General features: G+C 45.6%; 1 annotated feature.

Moving 5' to 3' along the window:
- Positions 9,178 to 9,402: a silencer, noted in NCBI's record as "fragment chr2:242460159-242460383 (GRCh37/hg19 assembly coordinates)". NCBI's record gives its function as "represses an EF-1alpha promoter that drives an FKBP-Casp9 reporter gene in an ReSE screen in K562 erythroleukemia cells {active_cell/tissue: K562}" and the evidence as "EXISTENCE:reporter gene assay evidence [ECO:0000049][PMID:32094911]".

Raw genomic sequence — 17,507 nt, 5'->3', positions numbered from 1 at the left:
CTCCTGTCTCAGCCCCCTGAGTAGCTGGGATTACAGGCACACGCCACCACACCTGGCTAATTTTTGTATTTTTAGTAGAGACAGGGTTTCACCATGTTGGCCAGGCTGGTCTTGAACTCCTGACCTCAGGTGATCCACCTGCCTTGGCCTCCCAAACTGCTGGGACTACAGGCGTGAGCCATCATGCCTGGCCTTGATTTTCTTACTGTTGAGCTTTGGGAGTTCTTTATACATTTTTGAGACATATCCTTTGATGGATATGTGACGTGTCATTTTTTTTCTCCCAGTCTTTAGTTAATTTTAGTTTTTTTGAGACAGAGTCTCACTCTGTCACCCAGGCTGGAGTGCAGTGGCACAATCTCAGCTCACTGCAACCTCTGCCTCCCAGGTTCAACTGATTCTCCTGCCTCAGCCTCCCAAGTAGCTGAGACTACAGGTGCCCGCCACCATGCCTAGCTAATTTTTGTTTTTTTTAGTAGAGATGGGGTTTTATCATGTTGGCCAGGCTGGTCTCGAACTCCTGATCTCAAGTGATCCGCCTGCCTCAGCCTCCCAAAGTGCTAGGGTTACAGGCGTGAGCCACTGCACCTGGACTAGTTTGTCTTTTGTCTTAACAGTGTCTTTCTCAAAACAAAACTTAAAAATGTTCATAAAGTCCAATTTATCACTACTTTTTTATGGTAAAATATACATAATGTAAAATGTACCATGTTAACCATTGTTTTTGAGACGGAGTCTTGCTCTGTCGCCCAGGCTGGATTGCAGTGGTGCCATCTCCGCTCACCCACGTGCCACCACACCCAGTTAATTTTTGTATTTTTAGTAGAGATGAGGTTTCACCTTGTTGGCCAGGCTGGTCTCGAACTCCTGATCTCGTGATCTGCCTGCCTCAGCCTCCCAAAGTGCTGGGATTACAGGTGTAATTACAGTTTGCAGTGGTGCGATCTCCGCTCACCCGCGTGCCACCACACCCAACCTACGTTAACCATTTTTAAGTGTACAGTGGCGTTAAGTAAATTCACAATGTTGTGTCACTATCACCACTATCTAGTTCCCGAACTTTTTCATCACCCCAAACAGAAGCTCTGTACTCATTCAGCAGCATCTGCTGGTCCCCTCCCCACGTAACTTTGATTCCACTTTCTGTTGCTGTGAACTTGCCTATTCCTGCTGCTAGTATAAGTGGAATCGCACAATGTTTGGCCTTTTGTGTTTGGCTTATTTCACTCAGCATGTTTCCAAGGTTCATCTATGCTGTAGCATGCATCTGAGCATTATTAATTATATTACATTATATTATATTGTACGTATGTATTTATTTATTTTGAGATGGAGTCTTGCTTTATCACCCAGGCTGGAGTGGAGTGGTGCCATCTCAGCTCACTGCAACGTCTGCCTCCCGGGTTTGAGCGATTTCACCTGCCTCAGCCTCCCAAGTAGCTAGGACCACAGGCTTGTGCCACCATGCCCGGCTTTTTGTTTGTTTATTTGTTTTTTGAGACAGTATCTCATTCTGTTGCCCAGACTGGAATGACTGCTCACCACAACCTCCACCTCTCAGGCTCAAGAGATTCTCCTGCCTCAGCCTCCCTAGTAGCTGGGATTACAGGCGTGTGCCACCATGTCCAGCTAATTTTTGTGTTTTTAGTAGAGATGGGGTTTCACCATGTTGGCCAGGCTGGTCTCGAACTCCTGTCCTCAAGTGATCTGCCCACCTTTGCCTCCCAAAGTGCTGGGATTACAGGTGTGAGCCACCCGGCCCAGCCTATTATATTTAACTGTGGTAAAGTACACATAACATAAATGTTACCATCTTAACCATTTTTGTACAGTTCAATGGCGTTATGTTTACATTGTTGCGCAACCAGTCTCCAGAAGTCTTTTCATCTTTCAGAACTGAAACCCTTTATCCATTAAAGAACAGCTTCCCAGCCCCCTCCCAGCCCCTCGCAACCACCTTTCTGCTTTTTGTTTCTATGAATTTGACTAGATTTCCTCATATAAAAGGAATCAATCATGCAGCATTTGTCCCTTTGTGACTGGCTTATTTCACTGAGCATAAAGTCCTTTCGGTTTATCCATGTTGTGGTCAGGAATTCTGTCCTTTTAAGGCTAATAATATTCCAGTGCATGGATAGGCCACATTTTATATATCCATTCGTTGATGGACTTCGGGTTTTTCCCCACCTCTTGGCTATTGCGCATAATGCTGCTATGAACATGGAATACAAATATCTCTTTAAAGGGGCCGGGTGCAGTGTCTCATGCCTGTAATCCCAGCACTTTGGGAGGCCAAGGCAGGAGTATTGCTTGAGTCCAGGAGTTTGAGACCAACCTGAGCAACATAGTGAGACCTTATCTCTAATTTAAAAAATAAGAGGCTGGGCCTGTAATCCCAGCACTCTGGGAGGCCGAGGTGGGTGGATCACCTGAGGTCAGGAGGTCGAGACCAGCCTGATCAACATGGAGAAACCCTGTCTCTACCAAAAATTCAAAATTAGCCCAGCGTGGTAGCGCATGCCTGTAATCCCAGCTACTCGGGAGGCTGAGGCAGGAGAATCACTTTTACCCAGGAGGCGGAGGTTTCAGTGAGCCGAGATGGTGCCATTGCACTCCAGCCTGGGCAATAAGAGTGAAACTCCGTCTTAAAAAAAAAAAAAGAAAGAAAGAAAAGAAGGCCGGGCACGGTGGCTCACGCCTGTAATCCCATCACTTTGGGAGGCTGAGGCAGGTGGATGACAAGGTCTAGGAGTTTGAGACCAGCCTGGTCAGTATGTTGACACCATGTCTCTATTAAAAATACAAAAATTATCTGGGCATGGTGGCCTCGCGCCTGTAGTCCCAGCTACTCGGGAGGCTGAGGCAGAAGAATCGCTTGAACCCAGGAGGCGGACGTTGCAGTGAGCTGAGATGGTGCCACTGCACTCCGGCTGAGGTGGGTGGATCACGAGGTCAGGAGATCAAGACCATCCTGGCCAATATGGTGAAACCTTGTCTCTACTAAAAATACAAAAATTAGCTGGGCATGGTGGTGTGCACCTGTAGTCCAAGCTATTCAGGAGGCTGAGGCAGGACAACTGCTTGAACCCAGGAGGCACAGGCTGCAGTGAGCAGAGATCGCGCCACTGCACTCCAGCCTGGGTGACAGAGCAAGACTCTGTCTCAAAAAAAAAAAAGAAAAAAAAAGAAAAAGAAAAGAAAACAAATATCTCTTTAAGCTCCTGTTTTTAATTTGTGGGGAGTATATGCCCAGAAGTGGGATTCCTGGATCATACAGGGCTACGGTTTGAATGTGTGCAGCAAAGTTCATGTGTTGAAAACCTAATCCTCAAAATGCAGTGGTGTCGGGAGGTGGGGCCTAGTAAGAGCCATTTAGGGCACGAGGACTCTGCCACCATGAATGGTTTCATGCTGTTATCGCGTGAGTGTGTCAGTTAGCTCACAAGTGGCTTTGTTATAAGTGAATACGGCCCCTCTTGCTCTCGTGCCCTTTCGCTGTCTCTCTCTCTTGCCCTTCCACCTTCCACTACAGACGACGCAGGAAGGCCCTCACCAGATGCTGGTGCCCTGCCCTTGGACCTCTCAGCCTCCAGAACCATGAGTCAAATAAACATCTATTGCTTATCAATTACCCAGTTATCAGGGGAACCCGCTCCTAATATTTCAACGTAGGTTCTATTTTCCATAAGTGTCGGCTGGTCTGAGAAATAGAGAAAGAGTACAAAGAGAGGAATGTTACAGCTGGGCCGCCGGGGGTGACATCACATATCGGTAGGACCGTGATGCCTGCCTGAGCCACAAAACCAGCAGGTTTTATTAAGGATTTCAAAAGGCGGGGCGGGGGGGTATGAACAGGGAGTAGGAACAAAGATCACATGCTTCAAAGGGCAAAAGGCAGAACAAAGATCGCATGCTTCTGAGGAAACGGGACAAGGCAAAACAGAACTACTGATAAGGGTCCATGTTCAGCGGTGCACGTATTATCTTGATAAACGTCTTAAACAACAGAAAACAGGGTTCGAGAGCAGAGAACCGGTCTGACCTCAAATTTACCAGGGTGGGGTTTTTCTCTACCCTAGTAAACCTGAGGGTACTGCAGGAGACCAGGGCGTATCTCAGTCCTTATCTCAACCGCATAGGACAGACATTCTCAGAGCGGCCGTTTATAGACCTCCCCCCAGGAATGCAATTCTTTTCCCAGAGTATTAATATCAATATTCCTTGCTAGGAAAAGAATTTAGCGATATCTTCCCTACTTGCACATCTGTTTATAGGCTGTCTGCAAGAAGAAAAATATGGCTCTTTTTGCCCGACCCCGCAGGCAGTCAGGCCTTATGGTTGTCTTCCCTTGTTCCCTAAAATCGCTGTTATTCTGTTTTTTCAAGGTGCACTGATTTCATATTGTTCAAACACACATTTTACAATCAATTTGTACAGTTAACACAATTATCACAGGGTCCTGAGGTGACGTACTTTCCCAGTTTACGAAGATAACAGGATTAAGAGATTAAAGTAAGACAGGTGTAAGAAATTATAAGAGTATTATTTGGGAAGTGATAAATGTCCATGAAATCTTCACAATTTATGTTCCTCTATCGCAGCTCCAGCTGGTCCCTCCGTTCGGGGTCCCTGAATTCCCGCAACACCTGTCTTAGGTATTCTGCTATAGCAACACACAGTGAGCTATGATGTATGGGAATTCTGTTTTTAGTTTTTTGAGGAACCACCATTCTGTTTTCCACAGCAGCTATACCATTTTACAATCCCACCAACAGTGCACAGGTTCCAATTTTCCCACAGCTGTGCCAACACTGGTTATTTTATGTTTCTTTGATAGTAACCATCCTGATGGGTGTAAAGTGGTATCTCAGTGGGATTTTGATCTGTTTCCCTAATGATTAGTGATGGCGGGCATCTTTTTGTGTGCTTCTTGGCCATTTGTATGTTTTCTTTGGGAAAATGTCTATTAAAGTTGTCTATTCTTCAATTGAGTTGTTTGATGTTGCTGAGTTGTAGGAGTTCCTTATATATTCTGGATATTAAACTCTTATCAGATATATAATTTGCAAGCATTTTCTTCCACGGATTCTCTTTTCACTCTCTTGAGAGTGTCCTTTGATGTACACAAGTTTTAATTTTGATGCAGTTCAATTTAATTTTTCTTTTGCTGCTTGTCCTTTTGGTGTCACATTTCAGAAACCATCACCAAATCCAAGATCACAAAGATTTTTTTCTGATGTTTTCTTCTGGGAGTTTTATAGCTTTAGCATGGTTTTGGTTCTATGGATTGTGCTTTGGTATTATATCTAAGAACTCTTTTCCCAGGTCACAAGGATTTTAGATATTTTCACCTAAAAATTTTATAATGTTATATTTTTTACATTTAGACCTATGACCCATTTATATCAATTTTTGTATAAAGCTTGTGGTTTAAGTTGAGATTACCTCTTTTTTTGGTATATGAATGTCCAATTGTTCCAGCGCCCTTCATTGAAAAGACTATTCTTCTCTCTGTTGACTTGTTTTTGCACCTTGTCAGAAATCAGTTAGCTGTATGTGTGTGGCCTACTGCTGGATCCTATTGTTCAAATGACCTGTGTATATATCCCTTTACCCAAACTACACTGCTTATAGGAAGGCTTAAAAGTGGGGAGTACGATTTAACTTTATTTTTCTGTTTGAAAATTGTTTAGAGTATTATAGTGTCTTTGCTTTTCCATATGCATTTTAGAATCAGCTTGTCTATGTCTTGTCATAGCTTGTCCAGACCGAGAGACATCTGGGGACAACCAATGGGTAACTCATAGCCATTCAGTGGTACTTTGAATTCTGGTTGTATTAGTCCATTTTCACACTGCTGATAAAGACATATCTGAGACTGGGTAATTTATAAAGAAAAAGAGGTTTAATGGACTCACAGTTCCACATGGCTGGGGAGGCCTCACAATCGTGGCAGAAGGCAAAGACATGTCTTACATGGTGACAGGCAAGAGAGAAAATGAGAACCAAGCAAAAGTGGTTTCCCCCTTTTATAAAACCGTTAGATCTCGTGAGACTTACTAGTTACCATGAGAACAGTATGGGAGGAACCGCCCCCGTGATTCAATTATCTCCCACCAGGTCCCTCCCACAACACGTGGGAATTATGGGAGCTACAATTCAAGATGAGATTTGGGTGGGGACACAGCCAAACCATATCACTGGTCTTTCCTAATCCACCTGCTGCTATTTCCTGCTCAGAAACCTCAAGTATCTGCTCCATTAGTTGCGTCCAGATTTTATAGCTGCATTCCACAGGAGAGGCAGGTGGAACTTGCTTACTCCATCTTACCTGGAATTGAAACCCTCTTGTTAATTTTTAATAGTGTGATAATGGCATTGTAGTTATATTTTTAAAGCCCTTATCTTTTATTTATTTATTTATTTATTTATTTATTTTTTGAGTCGGAGTCTCGCTCTGTCTCCCAGGCTAGAGTGCAGTGGCGCGATCTCGGCTCACTGCAAACTCCGCCTCCCAGGTTCACGCTATTCTCCTGCCTCAGCCTCCCGAGTAGCTGGGACTACAGGCACCCACCACCACGCCCGTCTAATTTTTTTGTATTTTTAGTAGAGACGGGGTTTCACCATGTTAGCCAGGATGGTCTCGATCTCCTGACCTTGTGATCCACCCGCCTCGGCCTCCCAAAGTGCTGGGATTACAGGCGTGAGCCACCGCGCCTGGCCTTAAAGCCCTTATCTTTTAGAGATGTAAACAGAAATATATATGGATTAAATAATTATTTAATTATTTATTTATTTTTATTTTTTTGAGACAGAGTCTCGCCCTGTTGCCCAGGCAGGAGTGCAGTAGCATTATCGGCTCATTGCAACCTCCACCTCCAGGTACAAGCGATTCTCCTGCCTCAGCCTCCCAAGTAGCTGAGATTACAGGCATGTGCCACCACGCCCTGCTAATTTTCGTATTGTTAGTAGAGATGGGGTTTCACTGTGCTGGGCAGGCTGGTCTTGAACTCCTGACCTCTAGCGATCCGCCTGCCTCGGCCTCCCAAAGTACTGGGATTATAGGCATGAGCCACCGCACCTGGCCTGGATTAAATGATTTTTTTAAGCCACAATGAGAACTATTTTTAAAAAATATATCAGATTAGCAAGGATAAAAAAGTTTGTTAATGGAAAAGCAGCAGGAGGCAGTCGTGTGGACACTGCAGCCAGGCTTCCTGGGTTCCAACCCTAGCCCCTCACCTTCACAAACGTGGCCTTGAGCTGCTGCTAGCCTCCCTCAGCTGTAATGGGGACAATCATAGACCCTTCTCCCAGGGTGTGGGGTGGACAAAATGAGTTGAAAGGCGGAATCACTTACAACCTGCGAGTGAATCTGAGCTGTTTGTTACTTACCCCAGGGGTGGGGAGAAGTGTCAGAAGGGTGCAGCCCCATGGAGGGCAGTCTCCTGTGTCAGCATTTTCAACACTTGTCCCTGTTGACTCAGCAACTCTCCTTCTAGGAATCGTGCCTGTATGCTCTCATAGGGGAGGCCACTTCAGGGTTCGTGGTAACAGCAAAGGTCAGGAGACCCCTAAATATTCATCCACAGGGACACGTTCCATTATGGCTGAGTGCTAATTTGTTTAGAATAGAATCCTATAGATGTCTATTGTTCTGTTGTGGGAAGTTAGGTCTATGTTGTGGTGCAGAGGGAAGGGCACAGCCGGCTACCATTTGTATAAAAATAGAAGAATACACACGTAGGTGTGTCTGCCTCTCCACACACAGATGCTCCACAAAGGCCCCGAGGGCCCAGCAGTGGTGTCCCTCAGAGAGGAGAGCTGCAGACAGGTAGTGTGCGAGGGCAACTCAGTTTTCACCGAGTATCTTCTCTTACTTTTTTTTTTTTTTGAGACGGAGTCTCGCTCTGTCGCCCAGGCTGGAGTGCAGGGGCGCGATCTCGGCTCACTGCAAGCTCTGCCTCCCGGGTTCACGCCATTCTCCTGGCTCAGCCTCCCGAGTAGCTGGGACCACAGGCGCCCACCACCACACCCGGCTAATTTTTTTGTATTTTTAGTAGAGACGGGGTTTCACCATGTTAACCAGGATGGTCTCGATCTGCCGACCTCATGATCCGCTCGCCTCGGCCTCCCAAAGCGTTGCAATTACAGGCGTGAGCCACCGTGCCCGGCCTTTCTCTTACTTTTTAACTATTATAACATCTACATATATTATCTTCTCAAAAGAAGTTGAAAATAATAGTAAAAAGGAAATAATTCATACTATTGATCTATAGATTCCATGCAATTCCTCTCCAAATTCCAATGACATTCTTCAACGAAATAGAAAAAAAATCCTAAAATTGTTTAGAATCACAGAAGAGGCTAGGCCTGGTGGCTCATGCTTGTAATCTCAGCACTTTCCCGATTAACTGGGAAAGGTTTCTGGAGAAAACAAGAGTTGAGTGGGCTTTCTCACCTCCGTGCCTTTCCTTCAGTCACAGTACAGGACCGACGGGAGGAAGTGGGGGGCCGAGGTGGGACGATCAGCAACATAGGGAGACCCCATCCCTACAAAAAATGTAAAAATTAGTGGGGCGTGGGTGGCACCGTGGTCCCAGCTGCTCAGGAGGCTGAGGTGGGAGGATTGCTTGAGCATTGGAGGTTGCAGCTGCAGTGAGCTAGGATCATGCCGCTGTACTTCAGCCGGAGCCATAGAGCAAGACCCTGTTTTAAACAAGCCAACCAACCAAAAAATGTGATACACACACACACAAATATTATTCAGTCTTCAAAAAGAAGGAAATGATCCTGTCATTTGTGACAGACAACATGGATGAAACTGGAGGACACTGTGCCCAGTGAAACAAGCCAGGCATCAACAGACAAATACTGCATTATTTCACTTATTACGGAAAGCAAAAAGGGTGAACTCACGGCAACAAGGAACAGAAGGGGTAGTCACCAGGTCCTGGGAGGTAGGATAAACAGGGAAACGTTGGTAGAAGGGTACAAACTGTCAGCTATAAGATGAATAATCACGTCTCGTACACTTGATATTGGCTAAGAGAGATCTTGTATCCTAACCACGCACACACACACACACGCACACACACACACAAACGTAACTCTGTGAGGTGAGGAACATGTTAGCTCAATTGTGGTAATCATTTTAAAGTACGTATGTGCATCAAATCATCATGTTGCATGCCCTAAGTACATACAGTTTTAAATTTTGAATTGTACCTGAATAAAGCTGGAAAAAAATAAAAATTAACTGGGAAAGGTTTCTGGAGGAAACAAGGGTTGAGTGGACTTTCTCACCTCAGAGCCTTGCCCTCAGTCACAGTTCAGGACTGTGGGAGGAAGTGGGGTGAGGCCCCTCCCTTCTTTTGATTTAACTTTTTTTTTTCGAGATAGGGTCTTTCTCCATCATCCAGGCTGGAGTGCAGTGGCAAAATCACAGCTCACTGCAGCCTCGACCTCCTGGGTTCAAGTGATCCCCCCCACCTCAGTCTTACAAGTAAATGGGACCACAGGCAGCTGCCACCATGCCCAGCTAATTTGTAAATTTTGTGTAAAGGCAGGGTCTCCTTATGTTGCCCAGGTTGGTCTCAAACTCCTGGGCTCAAACAGTCCTCTTACTGTGACCTCCCCAAGTGCTGGATCATAGGCATGAGCCACCATACCCGGTCTTTTTATTTTATTTTATTTTGTGGGTTCAAGCAATCCTCCCACCTCAGCCACCTAAGAAGCTGGGACTACAGGCATACCCCATGCCTGGCTAATTTTTTAAATTTTTTGTATAGACTGGGTCTTGCTATGTTGCCCAGGGCTGGTCTTTAACCCCTGGCCTCAAGCAGTCCTCCCGCGTCAGCCTCCTGAGTAGCCAGGATTACAGGTATGAGCCACCATGCCCGGCAGGGGCCTTCTTCAGCAAGTTTTCTTCATTTTTTCATTGAATTATTACCCCCATATACTCCAAATAAACAGCCTCCACAAGCGTTTATCACTCCTATTTAGAAATAAAGAAATTTTAATTCAAAAAGGTTAAGTAACTTGCCCAAGGCCACACAGGGACGTGTGCCTGACGCTACCGCACACATCCGTCTTCCTGGGGAGAAGTGAGTATGTGGGAATAGGAGGCAGCAGTCTGGGGACTTGGATTTTAGCTCTACTCTACTAGGGAACCTGGAGCAACCAACCTCCGTGAGTTAAACTCAGAGTCCAGGCAGCTGTGGCTGAAGCCTCCCTTCTGCCTGAGGCCAGGAGGGGCTGCTGGAGGCTCAGATGTGTTGCTTTTCCCCAGGGAGGGTTTATGTCCTGAGTAAGTGCAGCTACCTGCGGTTTTTCACTCACTCCATGCGAACACATCCTAGATCGTCGCATGGCTCAATGGCACTCTTTGTTTATAGAAATTCTTCTTTCTGCCGGGCGCAGTGCCTCACGCCTGTAATCCCAACATTTTGGGAGGCTGAGGTGGGTGGATCACGAGATCAGGATTTCGAGACCAGCCTGACCAACATAGTGAAACCCCATCTCTATTAAAAATACAAAAATTAGCCGGGCGTGGTGGCACACGCCTGTAATTCTAGCTACTCAGGAGGCTGAGGCAAGAGACTTGTTTGAACCTGGGAGGCGGAGGTTGCAGTGAGCCGAGATGGTGCCATTGCACTCCAGACTGGGTGACAGAGCGCAACTCTGTCTCAAAAAATAAAAATAAAAAAGTAATTCTTCTTTCTGTTTCATTTTGCATATTTCTATCACTATGTTTTCAAATTATCTAAACTTTTAAAAAAATTTTTTTTTATTGAGATGGGGTCTCATTATGTTGCCCAGGTTGGTCCCAAACTGCTGGCCTCAAATGCTCCTCCCGCCTTGGCCTCCCAGAATGCTGGGATTACAGGCGAGGGCCACACTCACTAGGCTCTTCCTCTGCGGTGTCTTGTCTGCTGTGAATCCCGTCCTGTGTATCTTTCATATCACACATTGCAGTTTCAACTCTAGAAAATTACTTTCGGGCGTTTTTATAAGGTCCATGTTTCTACTTAACTTTTCTCATATGTAAAATACAGTTATAATAACTTTTAATATACTTGTCTGTTAATTCTAACATTCGTGTTAACTACGAGTTGTTTTTGATTGGTTGATTTTTCTCCTCAAGGCTAATATATATATATTTTGAGATGGAGTCTCGCTCTGTTGCCAGGATGGAGTGCAGTGCTGTGAACTTGGCTCACTGCAACCTCCGCCTACCGGGTTCAAGAGATTCTCCTGCCTCAGCCCCCTGAGTAGCTGGGACTACAGGCGCGCACCACCACACCCAGCTAATTTTTGTATTTTTAGTAGAGACGAGGTTTCACCGTGTTGGCCAGGATGGTCTCGATCTCTTGACCTCGTGATCTGCCTGCCTTGGCCTCCCAAAGTGCTGGGATTACAGGCGTGAGCCACTGCACCCAACCAAGGCTAACATTTTCCTGCTGTTTGCATGCCTGCTAACTTTCCATGAGATTATCATTGTCATGTAATTTACTTGGTTGGGTGCTGCATATTTTTGTATTCCTATAAATATTCCTGAGCTTTGTTCTTTGATGCAATTAAGTTACTTGGAAACGGTTGGATCTTTTCAGGTCTTGGTCTAATATTTGTTATGCAGGAATGAGTAGTTTTCAGTTGATGGGTAATTGTTCCTTTAGGGTGCTAGGTAAAATACAGAACACACAGTGGAATTTTAATTTCAGATAAACAACGTTTTAATATAAATATTAATATATCCCCTGCTTTTTTTTTTTTTTTTTTTTTTTGAGACAGGGTCTTGCTCTACTCCCCTCGCTGGAGTGGAGCAAGCTCACGGCTCACTGCTGCCTCTACCTTCCAAGCTCAAGTGATCCTCTAACCTCAGCCTCCTGAGTAACTGGGACCACAGGCATGTACAACCACGCCTGGCTAATTTTCTTAATTATTTGTAGAGATGAGATCTTGCTCTGCTGCCCAGGCTGGTCTCACACTTCCGGGCTCAAGCCATCCTTCCACCTCAGCTTCCCAAAGTGCTGGGGTTAGAGGTGTGAGCCACCATGCCTAGCCCTGCCCATTTTTAAATTGGGTTATTTATATTTTTATTATTGCATTGTAAGAACTTTTTAAAATATATATCTTGGATACAAGTCCCTTATCAGACAGATGATTTGCAGATACTTTCTCCCATTTGGTAGGTTGCCTTTTCACTTTCTTGATGGTGTCCTTTGAAGCATACAAGTTTTCAATTTGGTGAATTTGAATTAATCTATTTTTAAATTTTGTCTCTTGTGCATTTGTCATATCTAATAAGCTATTTTATAGTTTTAGCGCTTACATTCAAATTCATGATCCGTTTTTAGTTGATTGGGTCTAACTTCATTCTTTTGCATGTGGATATCCAGTTGTGTGTGTGTGTGTTGGATGTGTGTGTTGGGGTTTGTGTGTTGGGGTGTGTGTACGTGTATGTGTTGTGTATGTTTGTGTGTTGGTGTGGGGTGTTGTGTGTATTAGTGTATTAGTGTGTGTGTTGGGTATGTGTGTTGTGTGTGTGTTGAGGTGTCTACGTGTTGTGTGTTGGGTATGTGTATTGTGTGTGTTGAGGTATCTACGTGTTGTGTGTTGGTGTGTGTGTGTTTTGTGTGTGTTTCGTGTGTGTTGGGTATGTGTATGTTGTATGTGTTGGGGTGTGTGTTGGGTGTTGCGTATGTACATTATGTATGTATTGGGATGTGTGTTGGGTATATGTGTGTGTTGGGCATGTGTGTATTGGGGCTGTGTATTTGTGTGTTGGGCGTGTGTTGTGTGTATTGGGGGTGTATATGTGTGTGTTGTGTATGTTTGTGTGTGTGTTGGGTGTGTGTATATGTCAGGTGTGTGTGTTGGGTATATGTGTGTGTTGGGGTGTGTGTGTTGGTGTTGTGTGTGTTGGGTGTGTGTTTTGTGTATTGGGTGTGTTGTGTTGGGTGTGTTGAGTGTGTATTGGGGGTGTGCATGTGTGTGTTGCGTGTTGGGTATGTGTATGTGTGTTGGGTGTGTGTGTGTGTTGGGGTGTGTGTGTTGGGGGTGTGTGTTGGGTGTGTGTGTGTTGGGTGTGTGTGTGTTGGGGGTGTGTGTTGGGTGTGTGTGTTGGGTGTGCACGTTGTGTGGTGGGGTGTGTGTGTTGGGGGTGTGTGTTGGGTGTGTGTGTGTTGGGTGTGTTTGTGTGTGTGTTGGGGGTGTGTTTGGGGTGTGTGTGTTGGGTGTGTGTTCGGGGTGTGTGTTGGGTGTGTTTGTTGGGGGTGTGTGTGTGTTGGGGGTGTGTTTGTGTTGGGTGTGTGTGTATGTTGTGTATGTGTTGGGATGTGTGTTGGGTATATGTGTTGGGCGTGTGTGTGTGTTGGGTGTGTGTTGTGTGTATTGGGTGTGTTGTGTTGGGTGTGTTGAGTGTGTATTGGGGGTGTGCATGTGTGTTGCGTGTTGGGTATGTGTATGTGTGTGTTGGAGTTGTGTGTGTGTTGGGTATGTGTTGTGTGTGTGTTCAGTGTGTGTGTTGGGTATGTGTGTGTGTTGGGGTGTGTGTGTTGGGTGTGTGTTGGGGTGTGTGTGTTGGGTGTGTGTTGGGGGTGTGTGTTGGGTGTGTGTGTGTTGTGTGCGTGTGTTGGGGGTGTGCGTGTGTTGGGGGTGTGTGTGCTGGGGGTGTGTGTGTTGGGTGTGTGTGTGTGTTGGGTGTGTTTGTGTGTGTGTTGTGGGGGTGTGAGCACAGAGCTTATCTGCCCTCCCTGGGCATGCTGCCCTCCAGCAGCTTGCACATGTTCAGGTATCTGCAAGATCCCAGCACCATTTGTTGAAAAAATTACTCTTCCCCTTTGTTCACTGGCTGGAACAGAGCTAAAACAAAACAATTAAAATAAAGTAATTATTTCCCAACTGAATTGTCTTGGCATACTTTTAAAAAATCAATTGATCATAAGTCTATTTCTGGTAATGAATTTGATTTCATTAATCTACGTATCTTTTTTTGTTTGTTGTTTGAGATGGAGTCTCACTCTGTCACCCAGGCTGGAGTGCAGTGGCACAGTCTCAGCTCACTGCAACCTCCACCTCCCAGGTTCAAAAGATTCTCCCGCTTCAGCTTCCGGAGTAGCTGGGACTACAGGCGCCCGCCACCAGGCCCAGTTAATTTTTTTTTTTTTTCCCGAGACGTAGTCTAGCTCTGTCACCCAGTTTGGAGTGCAATGACACAATCTCAGCTCACTGCAACCTCCGCCTCCTGGGTTCAAGTGATTCTTGTGCCTCAGCCTCCTGAGTAGCTCACATCACAGACGTGTGCCACCATACCCAGCTAATTTTTTGTATTTTTAGTAGAGATGGGGTTTCACTATGTTGGTCAGGCTGGTTTCAAACTCCTGACCTCAAATGATCCGCCCGCCTCGGCCTCCCAGTGTTGGAATTACAGGCATGAGCCACCTTGCCCTGCTGTACTCACTCTTAATTATTATATGGTACATATGTAAACGTCCCGTAGACTTGGAGTTTTAAAACATTCTTTACCCACCGAAGTGTCCTATGCTTTCTTCTCACACCAAAAAAACCTTAGCTTTTGTGGCCAGGCAGCAGTTCATATTGTTGTCTTTGCTCTCGGTGGCTTGAAACTAAAAGTGATTCTGACATTTTCTGAACTAAGACTGAAGTGCAGTTTCCCTTTCTCTTCTCCTACTTCTAGATGCCATTTTTCTATCTTCTTCCTTACTTCTACTTCTACATGGTTAAAGTGGAAAACCTTCACGTTCTATAGAGAATAATTATAAATGTTAAAAATCAACATATGGGAATTACATTATTAAGCCTAAGACATTACTGCTGAGCCTGTGACAGCTATAATTCCCTCATCTTTGTGTTTTCCAAAGATGGCCTCAACATTACCTCCCTCCTCTATGTTTGTCTCACAATGTGAGTTACATGCTTTCCCCCCTTAAATCTGGGTGAGCCATGACGATGGTGGAAGTGGTGCTAACCAGCTGCCAGGTCATTACGAAGCCATGCACTGTGCCAGGTCATTACGAAGCCATGCACTGGCACCTTTTCCTTCCAGAATGCTAGCCTTTGGAATCTCCTGCTGCAGACTCATTTGTGTCTCTTCTACTCCAAAGTTCATATGCTGAAGCCCTAACCGTCAATGTATTTGGAGATAAAGCTTACAAGGAGTTAATGCAAGTTAAATGAGTTCATAAGGGTGGATCCCTGATCCAACAGGATCGGGCCCTCATGAAAAGAGACACCAGAGAGCTCTCTGTCTGCCATGTGAGGACACAGTGAGAAGGCAGCCATTTGCAAGCCAGGAAGAGGGCCTCACCAGGAACTGAATCAGCCAGCATCTTAATCTCAGACTTCCTAGCCTCCAAAACCGTCAGAAATAAATGTCTATTGTCATAGTCATAGGCTGGTATTTTGTTATAGCAGCCTGAGCAGACTAATGCAACCTTCTCATCCCCTCTCCTGCCTACCACACTGTGAGAAAGCTCGAGAAGCCAGTGAGAAGAATGGAGGCCCCAGGCTCACAGCCCTGGATGAGCTCCAGCCTTCAACCAGTACAGACCGAGTGGCCACATAAGCGAGTTTTCTTCAACTTGGATCCTCCAGCCCCAGCTGGCACATGTGAAGCAGAAAAGAGGTGCCCCATCAAGACCTGTCCAAATTGCAGATTCTTGAGCAAAACAAAGTATTGTTTTTAGCCGCTGAGTTTTGGAGTTGTCATGCAGCAACAGACACCTGATACATTTGCTTGTAAACTTTTTGCTTTCCCAAGTAGTGCAAATCTGAAAATGTCTTTATTACATTCTTATACTTGGTAACCAATTCTGTGTTGACAACTGTTTCACCTCTACATTTTGAATGTATTTCTCCACTATCTTCTAGCATCCCATGTTGCTGATGAGAAGTGATGCCCTCTGATTCTTCATCCCTTGAAGGAATTCTTTTTTTTTTTTTTTTTTTTTTTGAGGCAGAGTCTCGCTTTGTTGCCCAGGCTGGAGTGCAGTGGCACCATCTCGGCTCACTGCAAGCTCCGCCTCCCAGGTTCACGCCATTCTCCTGCCTCAGCCTCCCGAGTAGCTGGGACTACAGGTGCCCGCCACCATGCCCAGCTAATTTTTTTTGTATTTTTAGTAGAGACGGGGTTTCACGCTGTTAGCCAGGATGGTCTTGATCTCCTGACCTCGTGATCCACCCGCCTCGGCCTCCCAAAGTGCTGGGATTACAGGCATGAGCCTGCACCCAGCCCATCCCTTGAAGGAATTCTGTATTTTCCTCTTGGAAACTTTTAGGGTCTTCTGCTGATCCTTGCTCTCTTGGTTTTTCATACCAATGTGTCTTGGTTTGGTCCTCTCCTATTCACCATGGGGGGAGCTCAGTGCCTCCTTTTACCCAGAGACCAAAATCCTTGAACTCTGGGAAATGAAGATTTCTTGGCCGGACACGGTGGCTCACGCCTGTAATCCCAGCACTCTGGGAGGAGGAGGCCCGTGGATCACGAGGTCAAGAGATCAAGACCATCCTGGCCAACATGGTGAAACCCTGTCTCTACTAAAAATACAAAAATTAGCTGGGTGTGGTGGCGCATGCCTGTAGTCCCAGCTACTCAGGAGGCTGAGGCAGAATTGCTTGAACCTGGGAGACGGTGGTTGCAGTGAGCTGAAATCATGCCACTGCACTCCAGCCTGGTGACAGAGCAAGACTCAAAAAAAAAAAAAAAAAAAAAAAAGGAATTTTTGGCACTTTCTTCCTCTCTGGAATTCCCATTAGTTTGGTACTGGACTTGAACTTCTAAGCTTATCTTACTTCCTGAGTTCCTTAATTTTATCTTCCAACTAAACTTTTCTTTTCTCTTTTTGGAGACAGGGTCTCACTCTGTTGCCCAGACTGGAGTGCAGTGGTATGATCGCAGCTCACTGCAGCCTCCACTTCCCCGAGTTCAAGCAATCCTCCCACCTGAGCCTCCCAACTAGCTGGGACCATAGGTACACACTACCACATCCAGCTAATTTTTTTGCATTTTTTGCATACATAGTGCTTTGCCATGTTGCCCAGGCTGGTCTCAAACTCCTGGACACAGGTGATTCTCCCACCTTGACCTTCCAACATGCTGAAATTATAAACTTTTTCTTTTTTTTTTGAGACAAAGTCTTGCTCTGTCGCCCAGGCTGGAGTGCAATGGCATGATCTCAGCTCACTGCAACCTCCACCTCCCAGGTTCAGGCAATTCTTCTGCTTCAGCCTCCCAAGTAGCTGGGACTATAGGCGTGTGCCACCATGCCCAGCTAATTTTTGTATTTTTAGTAGAGACGGGGTTTCACCATGTTGGCCAGGCTGGTCTCAAACTCCTGACCTCAAGTGATCCACCAGCCTGAGCCTCCCAAAGTGCTGGGATTACAGGCGTGAGCCACCGCGCCCAGTCTAAACTTTACTTTTCTTAAAACATGTTATCAATGTCTTTGGTTCTGTGGGTTCACTGAGCCCAGCTGAGTGGCTCC

This window comes from Homo sapiens, chromosome 2 (genome assembly GCF_000001405.40).
Source record: "Homo sapiens chromosome 2, GRCh38.p14 Primary Assembly".
Lineage (NCBI taxonomy): Eukaryota > Metazoa > Chordata > Mammalia > Primates > Hominidae > Homo > Homo sapiens.
This window is presented reverse-complemented; position numbering and strand designations above follow the sequence as displayed.